The sequence below is a fragment of the Homo sapiens genome, chromosome 15 (assembly GCF_000001405.40).
Source record: "Homo sapiens chromosome 15, GRCh38.p14 Primary Assembly".
NCBI classification, from domain to species: Eukaryota; Metazoa; Chordata; class Mammalia; order Primates; family Hominidae; genus Homo; species Homo sapiens.
Window position 1 is genome coordinate 39,110,538 of NC_000015.10, and position 22,903 is coordinate 39,133,440.

At 41.1% G+C, this 22,903-nt stretch overlaps 1 long non-coding RNA gene across 3 annotated transcripts in view; it reads right to left on the reverse strand.

The window, feature by feature from the left end:
- Positions 1-22,903, reverse strand: part of LOC105370777 (uncharacterized) — a 556,255-nt gene that overhangs the window by 245,732 nt on the left and 287,620 nt on the right. For 2 of the 3 annotated variants that reach the window (XR_007064587.1, XR_007064586.1), the window contains exon 1: positions 17,441-18,681. The exons of the other annotated variant lie outside the window; for it this stretch is intronic. This is a non-coding gene — a long non-coding RNA (uncharacterized LOC105370777). Of the gene's footprint in view, positions 1-17,440; positions 18,682-22,903 lie in introns of those variants that run through there. 3 annotated transcript variants of the gene reach the window in all.

Sequence of the window (22,903 nt, forward strand, 5' to 3'; positions counted from 1 at the left end):
TTCAGCACATAAAGCACATCATTTCTTATCCTCTTACCACAAAAGAAAAAAAATGCTCTTCCTACCACCAAGACTGTCTTACAATGGATCATTTAAACAGCACATGCCCTAATCTCTTTCCACTTTATATCAGCTGCCTGCTCTGATTTCTAAGACCATAAGCTCTTGAGATGGAACTGAGGTGATTACTACTTTTTAAGGGTCAAATTAACATATAATATCCTTGTAGGAATAACTTAAATTACAGACTACAAACATTCAACATCCCATCCCGAATCCAAACCAAAGATCCAGAAGGCAATTTTGCCCACCAGGCTCACTGTGCCCACTTCACATGCCCACACATGCTACCAATTAAATAAATGGTACCATGAAAAAAAGTGACTTGGTGCAGGATTTTTTCTATTCCTGTCATAAGGCTCCACTATTGTGGTCAGTTTTGAGTCACACAAGTTTTAGTGCCTTGGAAAACTGTTTTGTAACAAGGAAACCAAGTATAGAATTCTGAGATTGATCCAAAAATTAATATTTCAGAAATAGTTGAAGAAATTGGCAATTAATTTTTTGGAGACCAGAAGTTTTGATGGAGTCAGGACAACTATAGCTAAAAAGTTATTTGCTGTGACTCTGCAGAGCATGATTAAATCAATGGATAGAAGTTCCAGGTGAACTGAAGATCAATTTTGACTTGATATGAATACTTAAAAACAACATTATAACAATTAGAGATGTCCAAAGATGCAATCAACTGTCAAAGAAAATAAAGCATTCCATGTCCCTGCAGGTACAGTTTTCAAGCAGAGAAAGGGTAGTTACATGCTGAGTATTTTGAAGATGAAATGTACATATCAGATAATAATTTGACTAGGTACTCAAGAAGGCTCCATCTACCTATGATTCTATGTCTGAAGAATTTCATAAGATTTACTGTTATAGTCCAAACAGACTGTGAAGATAGAACACCTGGCAACTGACAATATTAGAACTGAAAATGAAGAAAAGAATAGAGGAATTCATAATTGTCTTCTGTAATTTTAATCAGTCAGTCTTCTGTAGAGGCCCTACAGCTTCCAAATCTTAGTCAATCAATCCATTTAGATGCACTGAGTGCCCACTCTATCAGCCCATTCTCACACTGCTATAAAGATATTACCCGGCCAAACTTGGTGGCCCATGCCTGTAATCCCAGCTCTTTGGGAGGCCAGTGCGGGCGGATCACAAGGTCAGGAGTTTGAGACCTGTCTGGCCAACATAGTGAAATCCCGTCTCTACTAAAAATACAAAAAATTAGCGGGGTGTGGTGGTATGCACCTGTAATCCCAGCTGCTCAGGAGGCTGAAGCAGGAGAATGGCATGAACCTGGGAGGTGGAGGTTGAAGTGAGCCAAGATTGTGCCATTGCACTCTCCAGCCCAGGTGATAGTGTGAGACTCTGTCTCAAAAAAAAAAAAATATGTATATATATGTATCAACAAAAGAGGTTTAATTTACTCACAGTTCCACATGGCTGGGGAGGCATCAGGAAACTTACAATCACGCAGAAGTTGTAGGGAAAGCAAGGCACATCTTACCAGGTGGCAGGATAGAGAGAGCCCATGACGGGGGAACTGCCAAACACTTTTAAACGATCTGATCTCATGAGAATTCTCTCACTATCATAAGAACAGCATGGGAGAAATTGCCTCCATGATCCAGTGACATTGCACCAGGTCCCTCCCTCAACATCTGGGGATTACAATTTGAGGTAAGTTTTGGGTGGGGACACAGAGCCAAACCATTACCCATTATGTGCCAAGTACTATGTTATCTGTGAAATATAATATATAGTGAGGAGTGTGACCTACAGTCCTCCAGTACTTATTCTCAAAATGTTTCAAAATTAGTAGTTAGGAAGATATGTAGGTATTAAACATACATAAAATATGCACAAATAGCAATCTAATTTATTTAGGGGTTAATTGGCTGGACTGTGTCCCCACCCCAATCTCATCTCAAATTGTTATCAGAATTGTAGCCCCCATGTATTGGGGGAGGGACCTGGTGGGAGGTGATTAGATTATGAGAGCAGTTTCCCCCATGCTGTTTTCGTGACAGTGAGTGAGTTCTAACGAGATTTGATGGTTTTATAAGTGGCAGTTTCTCATCTCCATCCTGCTGCCTTGTAAAGAAGGTGTCGGCTTCCCCTTCGCCTTCTGCCATGATTGTATGTTTCCTGAAGCTTCCCCAGCCATGTGGAACTGTGAGTCAATTAAACCTCTTTCCTTCACAAATTACCCAGTCTCAGAGAAGTTCTTTATAGCGTGTGAAAATGGACTAACACAAGAGTTAAGGAATATTTCTCTGGGGAAATGACATTTCAGCTGAAACTTGTAGGATAATTAGTACTTCCATAGGGAAAGTCTAAAGGAAGGCTATTCCAGGTAGCAGGGAACAATACATCTGAAGGCCCTGAATCAAAAATAGCTTAGATGTTTGAGAAACAGACAGCAAGTCCTTAAGGCTAGTGCAGTGAAAGAAAATGTTAGAACAGTATGAAGTTGGAGAAATGAGTGAGGGTCAGATCATGCAGGTCATGTAGGCCATGTTAAGGATTCTAAATTTCTATTCTAAATGCAATGGTAAACCACTGAAGGGTTTTACTGGAATGCATCACAGTTTGATATATATATTTTTAAGAATCTCTCTGATGGTTGAATGGAGAAATTACTGGACACAGGGCAAATAGATACAAGGTCTCCAGTTAGCTGGTTATTGCAGAAATCTACATGAGACATGATGGTGGCTTGGACTGAGATAGTGGCAGTGAAAATGGCAGATTCAAAAATCTATTTCAGAGCAGAAATGATATGATCTATTAATGGCTTGTGTGAGGGGTCAAAATGATGACTACTGGGCTTCTTCAAGAGCAACTGGGTCAATAAAGGTACGACTTATTGAAATGGGGAAAGAACATCAAGTGAGCAGTTTGGGGAAGAATAAGTGCTCTGTTTTAGATGTATTTGTTTTAGGATATGCAAGTGGGGATGGCAAGGAGGTTATAACACAAAGAAAAAAGTAAAGGAAAAGATTCAGGAGTATCAACATGGAGAAGTTATTTATTTAAAGCCACACTGGTGGATGAATTCACATAGGAAGAGCATGTAGAAGGATTAAGCCCCAGGCTACTCTGACATTTAGAGAACAGAGGTGAAAGAGACAGAGAAGAAGCCTGAGAAGGAAGGGTCAGAGGGAAAGGAAGAAAGCAGAGGATTTGGTGTCTTAGAAGCCAGTGGGTAGGATGGCTTTAAAAGGATCAAGAGGTCCCTGTTTATGTTAGACAGCTCATGTCATTTGTTCAAACATCAAAGAAGATGAAGATTTTGTGACAGTAAGGGTTTTTTTCCCCCAAGATGGCATATTAGAGGCTTTCAGCGTGACTCAGCCACTTGGAAATAGCAAGATAGTACAAAAAGATAAACTCTGTGAGCTTTAATTCAAGAAGGAAAATGGGAGTCCACTGGAATTGGGAAGGACACCGCAGGTCCTGGAAAGGAGAATGCCAGCAAACAGCCCACATGACAGCGTCAGCTGATAAAAGTAAGTGAAACCCCAGTACACAAGAGAGGCAGAGAGCCTCCCTCTGTGAATCACCTTCCAATCAGGAATAGGAACAACTCAGGCTCACCTTTCCACTGTCTCCTACCAAGCCCTGCAGCTAACTTGGGAGAGGCTTGAAGACTTTGTGAGGAAAAGACACCAGGAAAAGCTGCAGATATTTTTCAAGACCCAAGATTCAAAGCAGGATGCCATTTTTAATCCAGGTGCATACAAAGTCAGCCATTCCTTGGTGTCCTGGCAGTCTGGCTATGCAAGCATTGTAGTTTCAGGCCAGAAATTGAAGCACCTGCTCTGGAGCAGGGTATGGGACATCCACAGCTACAACTGTGGGAAATGCCTCGGAAGTAGACCCTGGAAATATGCTATCCCCCATCCCAAGCCTGGGGCAGGAGTAGAGATACTACAGCTGCAGTTTCTCCTGGGTGGCAACACTTGCAGCAAAGTCCAGCTTGGCAAGCAGGAACTGATCTGCATGTGCCACTGCTGGTGTACGTACCCTGCTTTCCTGAGATTGGGGTACAAAGTGGTGTCCTCTCTTCTCCATCCCCAGAGAAAATAGCAGGTATTCAGAGCACCTGCTTGCCTGGACCAGCAGCCTGAGCTACCCCACCTTTCCTGGACATAGATTGTGGCGCAGTCAGGTTCTCTCTGCTCCACACCTAGCAGATCTGCAGGCATTCAGAGTACTCATTCACCTGCTTCAACAGCCTGAGTCACCCCACCATTTAAGTACATAGATTGTGGTGTAGCAAGGCTATCTCTGCTCCATGACCAAGCAGATCTCCAGACATTTGGAGCACCCATTTTCCTAGTTCAGCAGCTTGAGCTGCTCCACCCTTCCTCAAAATAGATTATGGTGCAGTGGGTCTCTCCCTGCTTCACATGCAGGCAAAAATGCAGGTATCTGGAGCACCCATTTGCCTGGTCCAGCAGCCTGAGCCACCCAACCCTTCCTGGACATAGATTGTAGTATGGGGTGCAGGGGTCCTCTCTGACACTTGTCTAGGCAGGTCTCCAGGCATTCAGAGCACCTACTTGTATAGTCTACCAACCTGAATAGCCCTACCTCTCTTGTGCAGAGACCTTGTGTGGTGAGTCTCTCTTTACTGCATGCCCAAACAGATTTCAAGGCATTCAGAGCACCAGCTTGCCTGAGTCACCATACCCCTCCTGTGCAGATAGCTTGGTGCAGAAGAGCCCTCTCTGCCTCCCACCCAGGCAGATCTTCAGGCATTCAGAGGAACTGTTCACTTGGTTCAACCGTCTGAGTTATCCTACCATTCCTGTGCAGAGATCCTGATGCATGGGCTGGGGAGGCGGGGGGCCCTCTCCACTCCATGCTCAGGCAGATGTCCTGTCACTCAGAGCAACTGCTTTCCTGGTTCAGCAGTCTGAGTCACCCCACTCCTCCTGTGCAAAGATCTTGGTGTTGGGGGACCCTCTCTGCTTCATGCTTAGGCAGATCTCCAGGTAACTGGAGCACCCACCCTCCTGGATTAGAAGTTTAGGCCATTCCCCACCCAGGGGTGCAGAGAACTTGGGGCCAAGGAGGTTTCCCAGCTCCATGTGTAGGCACATCTCTAGGTGCTTCATGGCTGCCCACTGGATTCTCCCTCAGTGCTGGTGCTTGTGCCTGCCATTGAGGGATCTGTAGGCAACCCTGCCTGGTCTGGTCCTACACTTAGTGGGCCCTGCACTCTGGTGGCTAAGCAGGGAGCTCAGATGACTGTGTATTCCATGAATCAGCCCATTGCCTGAGGCAACAGAGAACTTCTGCCAGTAAGGAATAATCAAGTACATACCCAGCCACATTGGCTGCAGCCAGCTCTTACTAATAAATGTCATCTATGGGCTTGTGGGTCAAACTGCACTGCCCAATATAAAACCTGCTGAAAGAAATGCATAGGGCTATAGAAACAACCCAAAAGACCCTATCCAGCATTCTCTATAATCATATCCCCTAGGGAGAGGTGAAAAGGGAAACAGAAAATAATAACATTATATGGAAAGAAATAAAGAAAAAGAAAAATACCCACTCACATGAACATAATTACAAAAATTAAAAATGCCAGAGTCTCCAGATAAAAAGAAATGAGTGCAAGAATTCTGGCACAATGAGAAATCTGAATGTAGTGACATGACCAAAAGATTGCACGAGCTCCCCTGCAATGGTCCCCAATCAAAGCAAAAACTCAGAAATGACAGAATAAGAATTCAAAGCATAGATTAGAAGGAAGCTAAACAAGATCCGAGACAAGGTTGAAAATAAACACAAGGAAACTTATAAAGCAGTCCAAGAAATGAAAGAAGAGATAAACATCTTAAAAAGAAATCAGTCAGAGTGTCTGCAATTGAAGAACTCACTTAAGGAATTTCAAAATACAATTGAAAGCTTTATCAATAGACTGGACCAAGCAGAAGAAAGAATTTCGGAATTTGAAGACCTGTCTTTTGAACTAAACCAGTCAGACAAAGATAAAAAGAAAAGAATTTTAAAAAATGATCAAGTCTTTGAGAAATACAGGATTATGTAAAGTGACAAAACCTATGAATTATTGGCATTTTCAAGAGAGAAGCAGAAAAAGTAAACAACTTTGAAAACATATTCAAGGGAATAATTCAAGAAAACTTCCCTAATCTTTCTAGAGAGGTAGAAATTCAAATACAAAAAATCCGGAGAACACTTATACTATATAAAATGAACATCACCAAGGTATATAGTCACCAGATTGTCCAAGGTCAAAACTGAAGAAAACAATCTTGAAGGCAGCAAGAGAAAAAGGGCGGATCACACAAAATGGGAACCCCATCAGGCTAACAGCAAACTTCCCAGCAGAAAGCTTATAATCCAGGAGAGATTTAAGGCCTATTTTCAGTACTCTTAAAGAGAACAAATTCTAGCCAAGATTTCCATCTCTCTCCAAACCAAGCTTCAAAAGCAAAAAAGAAATAAAATCTTTTCCAGACAAGCATGCATTAAAGGAATTTGTTACCATTAGACCAGCCTTACAAGACATCCTTAAGGGAGTTCCAACCATGGAAACAAAAGAGCAATACCTGCTACCTCAAAGACATATGTAAGCACATAGCCCACAGGCCCTATAAAGCAACTGCGCAATAGAAACTACAAAGTAACCAGCTAACAACCTCAAGATGGATCAAAACATCACATATCAATATAAACTTTGAATGTAAATGGTATAAATGCCCCACTTAAAAGGCATAAAGTGGCAAGTTAGATAAAGAAAGAAAACTTATCCATCTACTGTCTTCAAGAGAGCCATCTCACATGCAACAACACTTATAGGCTTAATGTAAAGGGTTGGAGAAAGATCTACTATATAAATGGAAAAGACAAGAGAGCAGGGGGTCACTATTCTTAGATAAAAGAGACTTTAAAACAACAACATTAAAAAAAAGGATAAAGAAGGACCTTACATAGTGATAAAGGGTTCAAATCAACAAGAAGACATAACTATCCTAAATATATATGCACCCAACATTGGAGCATTGAGATTCATAAAACAAGTACTTCTATACCTGTGAAAAGACTTAGACAGTCACACAATAATAGTGGGGAACTTCAGCACCCCACTGAAAGCATTAGACAGATCATCAAGGCAGAAAACTAACAAAGGAATTCTGCATTTAAACTCGACACCTGATCAATTAAACCCAATAGACATCTACGGAATACTCCACCTATCAACTACAGAATATACATTCTTCTCATCTGCACACAGAATATACTCCAGGATTGACCACATGCTCAGCCATAAAGTCTCAATAAATTCAAAAAATTTGAAAACATACTTTTGAACCACAGTGGAATAAAAATAGAATTCAATACCAAGAAGATCTTTTAAGCCCACACAATTACATGGAAATTAAACAACTTGCTCCTGAATGACTCTGGGGTAAACAAAGAATTCAAGGCAGAAATTTCAAAAAATATTTGAATAAGTGAAAACAGAGACACAACATATCAAAATCTACGGGATGCAGCAAAGGCAGTGTTAAGGGGAAAGTTTATAGCATAAAATGCCTACTTCAAAAAGTTAGATCTCAAAATTAACGATCTAACACCCACCAAGAGGAACTAGAAAAACAAGAACAAACTAACTCCAAAGCTAGCAGAAGAAAAGAACTAAAATTGAGCAGAACTGAATGAAATTGAGACCCAAAGATTTATACAAAGATTCCACAAAACCAAAAATTTGTTCTTTGCAAGGATAAAAATGATCAACAGACTGTTAGCTAGATTAACAAAAAAGACAGAAGATCCAAATAAGCACAATCAGAAATGACAAGCATGACAGTACAACTGATCCTACAGAAATACAAAGGATCCTCAGAGACTATTTTGAACACCTCTGTGCACACAAACTAGAAACTGTAGAGGAAATGGATAAATTCCTGGAAAAAATCTCCCAAGATTGAATCAGGAAGAAACTGAAACACTGAACAGGGCAATATCAAATTCCAAAATTAAATGAGTAATAAAAAGGCTACTAACCATAAAAGGCCCAGATCCGGTGAATTCACAGCCAAATTCTAACAGACATACAAAGAAGAGCTGGTACAAACACTGCTGAAAGGATTCCAAAAAAATCAGGAGGAGAGGTTTTTCCCTGACTCATTTTATGAAGTCAGCATCGCCCTCACAATAAAACCTGGCAAAGACAGAACAAAAAAAGAAAACTACAGGCCAATATCCCTGATGAACATACACACAAAAATCCAGAAGAAAACACTAGTAAACTGAATCCCACAGCACATCAAAAAGTTAATTCGCCAGGATCAAGTAGGCTTTATTCCTGGGATACAAGTTTAGTTCAACATAGAAAAATCAATAAATGTGATTAACCACATAAATAGAATTTTTGAAAACTATATAATAATCTCAGTAGATGTAGAAAAATATTTTGATAAAATCCAACATCCTTCTTGTTAAAACCCTCAAGAATCTAGGTATCAAAGAAACATACCTCAAAATAATAAGAGTCATCTATGAGAAACACACAGTCAACATCATACTGAACAGGCAAAAGCTAGACTCATTCTCTATGAGAACTGGAATAAGACAAGGATGCCCACTCTCACCACTTCTATTCAGCATAGTACTTGAATGTCCTAGCCTAGCCAGAGCAATCAGGCAAGAGAAAGAAATAAAAGACGTCCACATAGGAAAAGGAGAAGTCAAACTATCTTTCTTCACGGACAATATTATTCTATAACCAGAAAACTCTAAATACTCTGCCAAAAAGTCCTTAGAACAGATAAATAATTTCAGTAAAGTTTCGGTATTCAAAATCAGTATACAAAAGTCAGTAACATTTCTATACACCAATAACATTCAAGCTGAGAGCCAAATTAAGAATGCAATTTCAGTTACAATAGCAACAACAGCAACAAGAACAAAATACCTAGGAATACATCTTATCATGGAGGTGAAAGATGTCTACAAGGAGGACTACAAAACACTGCTAAAAGAAATGATAGATGATACAAACAAATGGAAAAACATTCTATACTCATCGATTTGAAGAATCAATATAGTTATAGTGGCCATACAGCCACTACTGCAATCTGCCACTACTGCCATACTGCAATCTACAGATTCAATGCTATTCCTATCAAACTACCAATGTCATTTTTCATGGAATTGGAAAAAACTATTTTAAAATTCATACAGAACAAAAAAGAGCCCAAATAGCCAAAGCAATCCTAAGCAAATACATTATGCAATCTTAAACAATAGAATAAGGCTAGAGTAACCAAAACAGCACGGTATTGATACAACAACAGACACATAAACCAATGTAACAGAATAGAGAACCCAGAAATAAAGCCTCACACCTATAGCCATCTAAGCTTTGACAAGGTTGACAAAAATAAGCAGTGGGGAAAGGAGTTCATATTCAATAAATGGTGCTGAGATAGCTGGCTAGCCATGTGCAGAAGAATGAAACTGGATCCCTACCTTTCATCATATACAAAAATTAAGTCAAGATGAATTAAAGATTTAAATATAAGACATCAAACTATAAGAATCCTAGAAGAACGCCCAATAAACACCATTCTGGAAACTTGCCCTGGAATAGAATTTATGGCTAAGTCTGGAAATGCAACTGCAACAAAAACAAAAATTGACAAATGAGACCTAATTAAACTAAAGAGCTTCGGCATAGCAAAAGAAACTATTAACGGAGTAAACAGACAACCTATGGAATGTGAGAAAATATTTACAAACTACGCATCTGACAAAGATCTAATATCCAGAATCTATAAGGAACTTAAACAAATTTACAAGAGAAAAACAACCCCACTAAAAAGTGGGCAAAGAACATTAACAGACATTTCTCAAAAGAAGACATATAACCTGCCAACAAACATGTGAAAAAAATGCTCCACATCACTAATCGTTAGAGCAATGCAAATCAAAACCACAATGAGATACTATCTCACACCAGGCAGAATAGCTATTATCAAAAAGTCAAAAAACAACAGATATTGGTGATGCTGTGGAGAAAGGGAACACTGTTGGTGGGAATGTAAATTAGTTCAGCCACTGTGGAAAGCAGTTTGGAGATTTCTAAAAGAACTTAAAAACGGAAATCTCATTCAACCTAGCAATCTCATTACTGGATATATACACACACGAAAAACAAATTGTTCTGCCAATAAGACACATGCACTTGCATGTTCATCACAGCACTATTCAGCATAGCAAAGACATGGAATTAACCTAGGTGTCCATCAGTGCTAGACCGGATAAAGAAAATGTGGGATATACATCCCCATAGAATATTATGCATATGCAGCCATAAAAAATAATGAAATCATGCCCTTTGCAGCAACATGGATGCAGCTGGAGCCATTATCCTAAGCAAATTAACACAGGAACAGAAAACCAATCACCACATGTTCTCACTTGTAAGTGGGAGTTAAACACTGGGTACTCAAGGACAGAAAGATGGCAACAGTAGACACAAGGGACTACTAGAGGTGGAAGGGGGAGGGCAAATGTTGAAAAACGAACTGTTGGCTGCTACGCTCCATACTGTGTTCATTTGTACCCCGAACCTCAGCATCCTGCACTGTACCCAGGTAACAAACCTGCACATGTACCCCCTGAAGCTAAAATAAAATTGAAAAAAAAAAGCAACTACAAAAATAGATTATTGGTGATGTGGTAGATGTAGAAGCCAGACTGGGTTGTAATGAATGAGGTTGAATAGTTTTATTTCAGAATCTCAACTTTTCTCCTGCCTCTATGCTTATCTTAGCTGACATTCCTAGCTACAAAACCTAAAGCAAAATCTCATGTGCTATCCCGTTATTAAGGAGCAGGGGGAAATGGAGAGTGTAGCACAGAGGAAAGAGGAGCAACAATGAGGATGTCCTTATGCAAGCTGGTCACTGCTTGGTAACAAGCATCACTGATTGCTTGAATTTAAACAGCTCTAGCAGAGAGACTTTCTGAGAACAGTCTGCCTAGGAGGCAGAAGAGAGAAAAGTCTATTCCACCTTCAAGGGACCTCAGTCTGCTTCAAAGATACCGGGCACTTCCAGGGAGCATCTTTAAGTTCTGCAGGAAAAAGCCAAGGAAGCCAAAGCCCAGAAAAGCAGCTTGGTCAGCGTGCAGTAGCAGTGTCTATCCACCAGCTTGCCTCACACATGGGGCATCTTGACATTTAGTAGGGTGAGGGTGGCAGTGACAACCTGACTCCACAGTCATAGAAACAGCACAGAGCTAGGCAATTGTGCAGATGGAGACAGGGAGGCAGGAAGCACATTCACTGTGTACAGTATAGCATCCCACTCTGGGCCCATGGTTCTACCCGTGAACATGGATGTGCTCTTTGATCAGATCTACTCTTCTTTCTGTGTGCTTCAGCCATGGACATTCATGGCAAAGGAATTATTCTCTTTGCTAAAACAGAGATGCCCAGCTATACCCTATGAGAGCGGGTAATGGGTCAGCCATATACATCATGCTGCCACTAATGAGGAAAGAATCTCCCTCTCAGGAATAATTCTCTTGCGTCCAGACCCCAGAGAAGGCAAATACTTCATCCTCTCACTCCCATTTCAGAAATCATACTTTCTAACATACTGTCTGAGGAGGTACTTTATGAGGCTCCCAAACAATTTTTTTCGAGGGTGGTAAAGTTTGCAGAGAAATTGTATTCCAGGTGGGGCTCTTTGTAAGAGATGTGTACCTGGAGCTTAGTTTCATTTTATATACACATCATCCCGACTTCATCCTACTTACTACAATCTCAGTTTTTCAATTTCGTAAGAAACAGCCTACCATGGGAGAAAGAAAACTTAGAGTTTCAGGACCTGGGGGAGTTCTAGGCCTACCTCTTATTTGCTCTGTGTTTCTGGTGAAATTTCTTAAACTCTCAGGCCCATTCTCTATCTGCCTGTAACACTTTTACAGCCCCAGGTAAGTTCTGTGTGAAGTTTACACGTATATTCTTATGATTAGAGCCTCCCAAAGTGTGTGAGCTGGGGCAGTAGCATGTGGGAATATATGGTTGGAAAGATAAAGGGTGGCTACATAGATAGTCTGATTAAGATTAGCCTATTAAAGGAAAGCTCTACAAGATTAGGAAGGTATGCTTATGGCTTTAAACAGACCACTACTCAGGAAGCCACCAAATGGTATCAAATGTTGTACAGCATATTACTTGATCCTGGTCCCATCTAATGGGCAAAGAAGCTCAGAGGTTGGAGGAAAATGATTTAAGAAAGAAAGAACCGAGATTGTTATGTAAAGACATAGAGGCAGCTATGAAGTATGGGGGCCATTCTGCTGAGGAAATTTCAATGGAGTTATAACTCAGAGAGAGTCTTTCTTTTTACTCATACTTTATTCAATTAACAAGTATTTTTGAAGCACCCTTTGTATGTCTAGCACTGTTAGGTAGTGTGTAGGATATGGAGAGAATAAAAGATGTGGTCCTTTTCCCCCAAACTGATGAAATCTGGCTGCTGTTTTAAGATACCACATCCGTAACAATAAAGAAAAAAGCAATATATAATAAAGTGCATGTAGTAAATAAAACGAAAGGCACTAAGAAAGACATTTAATATAAAACAGTGTCTTCTTGGCCGGGCGCGGTGGCTCACGCCTGTAATCCCGGCACTTTGGGAGGCCGAGGCAGGTGGATCACAAGGTCAGGAGATCGAGACTATCCTGGCTAAGACGGTGAAACCCCGTATCTACTAAAAATACAAAAAAAAAAATTAGCTGGGCGTGGTGGCGGGTGCCTGTAGTCCCAGCTACTCAGGAGGCTGAGGTAGGAGAATGGCATGAACCCGGGAGGTGGAGCTTGCAGTGAGCCGAGATCACACCAGTGCACTCCAGCCTGGGCGACAGTGCGAGACTCCGTCAAAAAAAAAAAAAAAAAAAAAAAAAAAAAGTCTTCTTAATGGGCAGTGAAAAAAAGAGGATAACATAATAGTAGATAATGTTTATTGAACACTTACTGTGTAACAGGATCTTACATACACTACATTAAATCCTCATAATAATCTTAAGATGAAGAAAGTGAGGCAAAGGGAAGTTAGGTAACTTTACCAATGTCATACAGCTATTGAGTGGCAGAGACAGGAACAAAAATAATGAAGTCTAAAAAAGAGATCCATGTGGGCAGTCAAGAAACTTGAGATTTGCTGAAGATGGTGCTTGAGAGGTACCTGATGTTTAGTTTCATTCTACAGTCACATCATCTAGATTTAACAGAGTATAAGTTACTATAGGTCATCTTGTATTCCTTGAATCAGGTACTCGCTAGTCAGTGAATGGTTACTTGTCAAAAGGAAATGAGCTGAATAAAATGAGCTGGGGAGAGGTAGGGAGAGAAACATCGAAGTAATCACAGAAAGTGGAATGGCAGAAGTAGAAGTGGGAATAAGGATAACTCTGCCTTCATCCCCAGGGCAAGTCCTAGATTACATCCAGGAAGAAGTCCAGGGGCACAATTTAGCTTTGTGATACTACCTTGGAGATGGCAGAGCTGGAGCATGGACCAGGGCTCAATTCCCATAACTAAGACAGGAGCATGCTGATGTTTCATATTGACACTGTGAACAACAGACATCCTCTGACTTGGTGACTCGTCTTTGCTCTGCAAATACATATGCTACTGTAATTGCTAAAAAATTACTTTGGACTCGCAGTTCAAATGGCTAAGTAATGTGGCCTCAGGTTTTTCCCAGGAACTCTTGCCATGTTTAAACAAACCCCAAGAATGACTGGGTAACACCCTGAGAATTGGCACTCGGTGGTACGCCAACAGCTTGGCTATCCGGAACGCTTCTGTCTGACTGCTTTTCCAAATTCAGTGTCTCCCAATCCAACCACGAAATGGCTGAGAAAAATGCCTCCATCCATCTTTTCCAGGGCATTCACCTCTTCCACTTCCTCACATGACCCTTTCCTACTTCAGCTGCTTTAGTTGGACTGTTTTTCCTTCCTCACCCTCCCACTCACTTCACAGAGCCGGTTTTAGTTTCTATCTAGTGAACACCGCAGTGAAGGAAAGCCAACATTTTTTTCAATCAGGAGAGTGAAGAGTGGAACTAGCCATCAGGACAAACTTACTTCATCTAGCAAATGTTCATCTGCTATTTTAACATCTTAGTTAGATCATATGGCCGCGGCAGCCAAAGTCCACAGGGCAACAGGCTGTACTGATACAATTAGCCTATGTACCTTCCCATTCCTGGAAGTGCTTTTCCTTGATTATCCTTGAATATCAACAGTTCTTAATTTCCAAAGACAGGACATATAACCTAACTCCCAAATCCCACAAAGAGAAGAAAAACCTGGCTCCCATCCACTCCTATGTTCCCAGCAACAGTCCCATAGACTCTACTTCTTCACAGTTTCGCTGAACAGTTACACTGAACTTTTCCACCACTTATACACTTGGTTGGAGCCAACATGTGTTCCTCCCGTATCATGTTTTTAGTAATTAGAAAGTAATTCTCTGAAGCAGAGAATGCTCTGGTTTGCCAAGAACAAGCTCTGTTGATGACTTCTGAGTGCTGCAAAGGGTTTTGCTGTGGGCTCCATTACAAAAATAATCACTTCGCTGACTACAGAGTCAATTTACTCCCTCAACGTGGGCCACCATTTGCCTAGCATTCTCCTAAAAGAATTTCCCTTTGAAAACTGGAATTTTGTAAACAGTTCATAGTCAGATCCAAGTTAGCTAGAGGTAATGAAGGTCTTTATTACCACTTTTAAATATCAAATGTTGGAATCAATGAAGTAGAATGAGCTCATTATTACTCACCAGATGGTATGAGGAGTCATGAAAGATAATCAAACATTCTTTAGTTTGACAAACAGTGGGTTTCCCAGCCCCCTAAATAGTCTTTTCTCCATTCTAGATATTAGGGTAAGCATATGATTATTGTCAATGTATACAGGTAACCAGTGCTGGATTCACACAGAACTATGAAATCAGCAAAGCTGACCTTCACTGTGTCTCCCATCCTGAATGTATTTTCCAGCTTTATAGTTTCCCTTCAACTTTCATTTTGAGATGCCTTTATTCTAAGGCTTCTCTATAAAATATAGGAGAGTGTTAATGGCTGAAACATTATTTTTTTTTCAAATCTATTTTTATGGTATTCTTTTTTTAAATTTTATTATTATTATACTTTAAGTTTTAGGGTGCATGTGCACAATGTGCAAGTTTGTTACATATGTATACATGTGCCATGTTGGTGTGCTGCACCCATTAACGCGTCATTTAGCATTAGGTATATCTCCTGATGCTATCCCTCCCCTCTCCCCCTACCCCACAACAGTCCCCGGTGTGTGATGTTCCCCTTCCTGTGTCCATGGACTGACACATTATTGATGTTCATAGGAAAGTTGTTTTAGCCTGATGGGATTTTCTAAGATGCATGCGTGAAATTCTAGGCACCAGCCATCAGGGGGAGCAGTTGTGGTTTTGTGTGGTGGGTCTTCCTGGTCTTTGCGGAATCAGAATTTAGTCTTACAGTTTCCTGCAGGTGAATAACCTACTTTACCAAAATGTGGAGATGGCTCATTCATTACCTGAAGAAGAACAAGGATGCAACTACTGTTCTTTAATGCTAATATGGAGCATCACATTGTCATTTGTAGTTAGGAATGACTTTCCCTGATAATAATGTCTGTTAGGTTCTGGCAACATTCTTTCAGACCTGTAAGTCTTGGGTAATAGTCACTGGATAATATTCGTAGTTCTCTCCCGCAGTGAATAAGTGGTGAAGGTTAAATTATTCCAAAAATGGATGTGGGCAATATTTAAGAAATTCTGATTTTATGACTTATGTTGCCTTGAAATATAATATTTTAATCATATATTTATATAATTTTTACTTAAAAGGAACTCAAAATACATTGCAGATGTTATTAAGGTGAGGAGTATAGCACCATAGTAGCTAGGATTTATTGAGTGTTTCCTACGTGCCAGGAGCTTCAAACAATTCTACATCCACATGGCAATCCTAATAAATAGATATTATTTTTATTTATTTATTTATTTATTTATTTATTTATTTATTTCGACGGAGTTTCACTCTTGTTTCCCAGGCTAGAGTGCAATGGTGCAATCTCGGCTCACTGCAACCTCCACCTCCCGGTTCAAGTGATTCTCCTGCCTCAGCCTCCCATGTAGCTGGGATTACAGGCGCCTGCCACCACGCCTAGCTAATTTTTGTATTTTTAGTAGAGACGCGGTTTCGCCATGTTGGCCAGGCTAGTCTCGAACTCCTGACCTCAGGTGATCCGCCCGCCTCGACCTCCCAAAGTGCTGGGATTACAGGCATGAGCCACCACGCCTGGCCCTATTATTTTTTCTAATTAACAGATGAAGGAACATATTAAGCAATTTGCCCAAAATCACAGGCAAGAATTTGAACCCTATTAGTCTGACTCCAGAGCTTGGGTCTTAGCAGCACCAAAGGTAACAGTACCTATGTTTAAAAGGATAAAATTAGGAATTTATTGAAAAATATAAGTGGTCAAGCTGGGATGGAAAACTAGTTTTGTTGTTGGTCTTTTTTCATTCCCAAGCAAGAACATGTTTTACTGCCTATCCCACTGAATTCTAGCCAAAGATTTCTCTGTAATAGAACAATAGAATAACTTTCCAAAATATGGTAAGAATGCAGATAGACTAGCAGTGGAGTAAATTCCCTTTCTCAAAGCAGGCAAGGAGGGTGCAGAGGGGTTAATCCTGATGACCCTTGTCAAGGGAGGACACTCCCAGATATAGCCTAGGCCATAAGGCCCAAGTCTCTTCTCTTTCTGAAATTCTGCTCTATCCCCTTTTAGCTTGTGAACCCAAAACTGGAAAGCTGCTTGGCTCTGTTTCCTCAGTTTTTGTTCTTGACATAGCAATCCAACGTTACTTACTCTTCATTTACTCTACACCTACCCCATCCGTCCTCAACAGACCATGATATCAGACCTTGGTTTTTAATTCCCCTCCCTTTCACTTAGTGCTTTAGGAAAGACATTGTTGACATTGGACCAAACCTCACTATTATTAACTCAGACCTGAGATACTTCTTCTGGTATATAACATTGTTTAACAGATTTCAAATACTCCAAACTGGATTTTCTTAAACCTCTAATGCAGCAGAATCATAGAGATCTTTAAAAATATGGATTCTAAAGAAAACATGACCTTGAAATAGACATATAGTTACAAAATAGGAAACAAAAAGCGTTAAATGAGAATGCACATTTCATGACAATTACTCGAACTTACACATGTAATTCTGTGAACTTTTCTGTGTGTTATACTTTAAAAAAACAAGTTTACCTTCAAAAGTATATGTTTCTGGGGTTTTTCTCCAGGCCTCATGAGTCAGCAATTCCTGCATTAGAGTCCAGGAAATTTTATTGTTAAATTGTCCTTAGTCATTGAGATAAGCAATTAGTTTGGCGAAGTACCAAAACTCCTAGGAGAGCAAATAGTATGTTAAGAATTCTAAGGCCAGGAGGATGAGGTTTATTTCCCACACAGAGAATGATTCTGGAAAACAATTAGATTGGGAAAATGTGCATTTCACTCCTACAAAGTCATGTGCCACTGCCTGGATGAACAGAGTATATATGTGATGCAGCCCCCTATTTTAGTCCACTAAGAGCCACCTTTCTTCTTTCAACTGCAGCCTATAGCTGTAGAGACAAGAGCAGAACTGCAGAATGTCACCATTTGAGAGGCCCTTTACCCACATTCTTGTCCTGATGAGTCACTCACTGGTTAAATACAGTAGGTAACCTTTGTGTGCTGAATCCCAGCCTCTGAAATCATGCAGCAGGCCAACTCACTACAGTGAAAAACAAGCCTCCCCTTCCTCCTTCTGTGGTGGCAATAACTCAGTTGTGGGCTACAGGAGATCCTTGCGTGCCAAGTGAGCAAGTTATGGGGTTCCTGGTAAAGAGAAGTTGCTTGTTTGGATCAAGTTAGATGGATGTAAATTTTGAAAAGGCCAAACAAATGGGTGATGCTCTCTTGTTTAGCATTTGTACTAAGTTATCTTCACAAAGAGCTATACAAAGGCTTAAAATAAAATCAACCAGTCTCAATTCTTCCAGCCTGGGAGAAAAGAAACGCCCATTAGGACACTGATCTTTAAGATGCTACCTCCTTCAGAAAAGTGGCAAAATGACCACAAGATGTTTGTGTACTAAATGTGTACTAAACTGAATGTACACTAAACCAAATTCTTGAAATTCCATCCATTTACCCTTTCACCCATTTCCAAAATTACACTTCCCCAGTCTTTCCACCTAATGAGTGGCTCCACTATTCACCATGATAATTAGGTGGAAAACCTAGGAGTCATCCTTGCCTCCTCCCTTTTCTCATACTCACTATGCAATCCATGAAACCATTATGATCCCTTATCTGGTGTAGTTGATGCTGTTCTGCACTACCGCAATGTCTCCCTTTAGAACTAAAGTACACATTCCATATGACTTCAGCAGAAGTACTGACCGGAAGACATCAGCCATTCTGTCACTGTCCACCCTACAGCTGGTACAACAGGTGTATTAACAGAATAGCCATGGTCACAAGAGTGGAGCCTATGCTTGGGCCCATCAGTATGAGATTTCACTTACCAAAGCTCATTTGGTTATTACTGCCACTAAGTTGTTTTTTGTTTGGTTGTTTGTTTCGTTTTTTTTTAGATGGAGTCTTGCTCTGTTGCCCAGACTGGAGTGCAGTGGTGTGATCTCGGCAACCTCCGCCTCCTGGGCTCAAGCAATTCTCTCGTCTCAGCCTCCTGACTGGCTGAGACTATAGGTGTGCGCCACCACACCTGGCTAATTTTGTATTTTTAGTAGAGACCAGGTTTTGCCATGTTGGCCAGGCTGGTCTCGAACTCCAGAGCCACTAAGTTTTTAATATTCCAGCCATAAAGACCAAACTGGAGTCCCCAGTTTGGTAGCACCCTAAGTGAGATGAATCACCCACATGCTGGTGAATTAACTACACTGGATCACTTTCATCCTGGAAGAGGTTTGCTTTGCTTAATTGGACTTAACTCATATTCCAGCTACTAGCTTTGCCTTTCCTCCCTGCAGGGCCTCAGCCAGCACTGTTATTCAAAGGCTTAGAGAGAGTGTGATCCAACAACATGAGAGCCAACATAATATACTATCATATAATTGCAGATATGTATTGCAATATACGTAACTGCAGAATCCACTTTACAGCATCAGAGGTTCAGCAGTGACCATGGGATCCACTGGAGCTACCACATGCTACAGTACCCAGAGACTTCTGACCTGGCAGTGCTGTGGACTGTCCTTGTGAAGGTGCAACTCTGGTACCAGCTTGCCGATGAAGTACGTACCCTAAATCAATGACCATCGCATGATGCTGTATTATCAAAAAGGAAGAATACATGGATATGGGAACTGCATAGCAGAAATAAGGGTAACTCTGCTTACCTTCACTCCCAGTGACCCACTTGGGTAATCTGTGCTTCCCATCACCACCACTCTAGGTTTTGTGGGTCTGTGTTTCCCAGAGAAGGAACACGTCCACCAAGGAACATATGAGTTTTATTAAACCTTATAGTTCAACAACCACCCAGTCACCTTGAGCTTCTTAGCCAAGAAAGCAACAGACAAGGAAGGGAATCACTGCCATAGTCGAAGTAAATGAGCCTGTTTGTTAGGAGGCAGGACTGCTCTATCACAGTGGAGTCAGGGAAGAACACATTTGGCACCCAGTGATCCACAGGGAATCTCTTGGTTATCCTCTGACCCATTTGACAGCACATGGGCAACCAGAAGGGCATGGTGACCAGAGCTCGGACCCCTTAGGAGTGAGTGTCTGAGTCTCTCCATTACATAAGCTACTGGGCCAGCAGAGGAGTGAGCCAAATGCAGAGAAGCTAGAATGGGTAGTAAAGAAGGTAAGTTTTAGTTATAGTCAAGAGACCAGTTTTTTCCCCTGGAAAAACAGACTAGTAAGAATCCTAGAGCAGCTACTGCCAGATGGGATGAAGAAACAGGAAGCAGCTGGATGCAGATGGCACGGGGGTTGATTGTTGTTGATACCCAAATGCCCCTTAAGGTTTGAGCCACTCATTCCCCCAGTTGCTGGAAGTGTCACTTCCTGATGGCTCACAACTTAGTCCCTTCTCAGGAATCCACCTTCATAAAAGGGAGCTGCCTCACTCAAGCTTGCACCTCCTTTCCAGGGGCAGCCAATGTCTAATGATTGTTTGATGAGGGGTTACAAAGGCCTGACCACCCGCCCCCACCTTTGCCTCCAGTTGAGACATCAACTCAATCACAGTTTGAATTCTTCCTCTGCCCATTCCTGCCTCCTTCACTCCTTACACAATCTGTTCCCAAACATACTCCACAACCACCTGCACTCAAATCTCTCTCACAAAGTCTATTTCCCATTGAATACAAAACCTTTACTCCACTCAGCAGCCAGGATGATCCTCAAATGTAAGTTAGGTAATGTCACTCCACATCATGGTTTCCCATCACTCTTAAAATCAAAGGTCCCTCCCAGGACTCACAAGCACCCGCCTCCTCTCCAGCTGCTCTTCTCCTTCCTCACTCCACTCTCTGGCCTTCTGGCTGACCCACCCTTGTCAAGCAGTCTCCCAGCTCAGGGCATGGGTGCTGCCATTCTCTCTGCCTGGAGTGTGCTTCCTCCAATACACAAATGGTTTGCCACCTCTCTTTATTCAGGTCTTTGGCTAGCTTCCACCTTTATCGGAGGGGTCTCCTTTGTTTATTCTAACAAAAGTATACTCTGTGCCTACCTATTTTGTTTTTCTGCATAGCCTTTACCACTACCTCACATTCTCTTATTAATTGCTTGATTAAAGAGTCTTTTGTCTTTCTTCCCCCATTATAAAGTAACATCCATGTAAACAAGGATTTTTCCATTTTTCCTGTTCTGTCCACTGCTGTGTCCCTCGTACCTAGACAGAACTATTTGTATTAGCAGGCATTCAGCAAATAGCTACTGAATTACTGAATAAATGTATAAAATAGCAGATGAGTAAACAGTATGTGGTGAGTCCACATATCCAAGTATACAGGTTTTCCCAAACAAAAGAGTAGGACAATCTAAAACATGCTGACAATGACCCTGTCACTAGTAGTACGCACTCTCACTCCAAACTTGGATGAATCACATTCATTAGGAGTGGCCTATTGCTGACTCAAATTTTTTAACGGTCCCCACAGGCTAATGAAGAATTCAAGTGGTTCAGTAAAAGCACAAAAGTCTTTAATAAGTCTGACGCCTTATTTCTGCAAAGTGTTGTGAAGGAAAGGATTGGATTTGGGTGCTTGGGGTTTTGTTTTTACTTGTTTCTTTTCTTTTCTTTTTTGTTTTTTATGACAATGCCCATCATATGCCTACACCTAGCAGTCAATAGATAGGACACGGGCCATTTTATCCAAAGTCTCATCAGCTACCACAGCAACAAGGTAAAGGGCACAGAAAGAGCTCAGATAGGTGCTACGTCACTCAGAGTTCAGGTAACATAACTGGAAATAGCTCCAGATATGTAAGAAGAGAGATTTCACACAATGGTGCTTGCACAATCTTTGGAAGGGCTGGAGGAGGAGAAGTCACTTTCTTCAAGGTAGCATCACCATAGTTACAGGGCTGAGACTGGAAAGAGCTGCTATGCTGCTTCCACTCTGGCCACTGCCCCAACTGTGTGACACCCACGGGTTGGCCACCTGGCTCTGGAATGTGGATTTCCACCTCCAAAAATGTTCTCCCTCTCCTGACCTTGCCCACTAGCCCCTATAGCAGCAGGAGACCCAGCTCCCTTAGGCGGTCCCTACATTGGTAGAATGCCCATTTCATTGGTAAAACTATATCACATCCAGAACCTCGTTGCACATTAGTCTGTGAAATGTCATTTTTAGTCTTCCAGATACAAATAGGTAAAATAAATGGTAGAAATGGATGTTGAGTGAAATAAGCTTTATCCAGCAAATGTGCCAACAGTGAGAAACTTCAAATGGGGCGGTCCTTTCCTTTGCAAGAATTAAGTTTAGTATTGGGATGGCTTTTTTGGAAGACAAAAGAAAGTCCCATGAACAGATAACAATAAATTCTATAATGAGTGCTTACTTTATACTTGGCGCAATACAAAGCATTTAATATTCATAATCGCATCTACCACATCTCCATGACTCTATGAAGCCAGTAGTTAGTAATATTATTTCCATTTTACAGATGAGACAAGGCCTAGAAAGTTTCAGAGGTGTGCCAAGGACATACAGAGAGTGAGGAGCAGAGCTGGGATATAAACTCAAGGCCAAAGCTTTAACCACTAGGCAACTTCACCCCCACCTCCAGCTTAAACCATGTATCATCATAGAAAACTCTTCACCACCTCTCTCTCTCTCTCTAGCTCTCTTGCTCTCTCGCTTTCTCACTCTCACCTTCATTCTTGCTTCCAGTATATAATCCCTTATATGATGCATGTATCCATACATTTACATATTCACTGTCATCAAGGGACTCTAAAACTCATACATATCATGTTTCAGCACTCTAAAAAGATTAGTTCATTTCCAAACATAGCTGCATAAAGAAGGTTTGAAAACTTCTCTGAGAAATGGCACAACTCTTTGGATAACAGAAATGGGATGGTGGGGAAATACCAGTATCCCTAGTAGGAAAACTTAAAAGACATTTCAAAATTCTCTTAGTCATGCATCAAGGAGTCTTGAGAAAGACCAGTCACCCCGGCTATTTTTGTTGCTGAGAAAATTT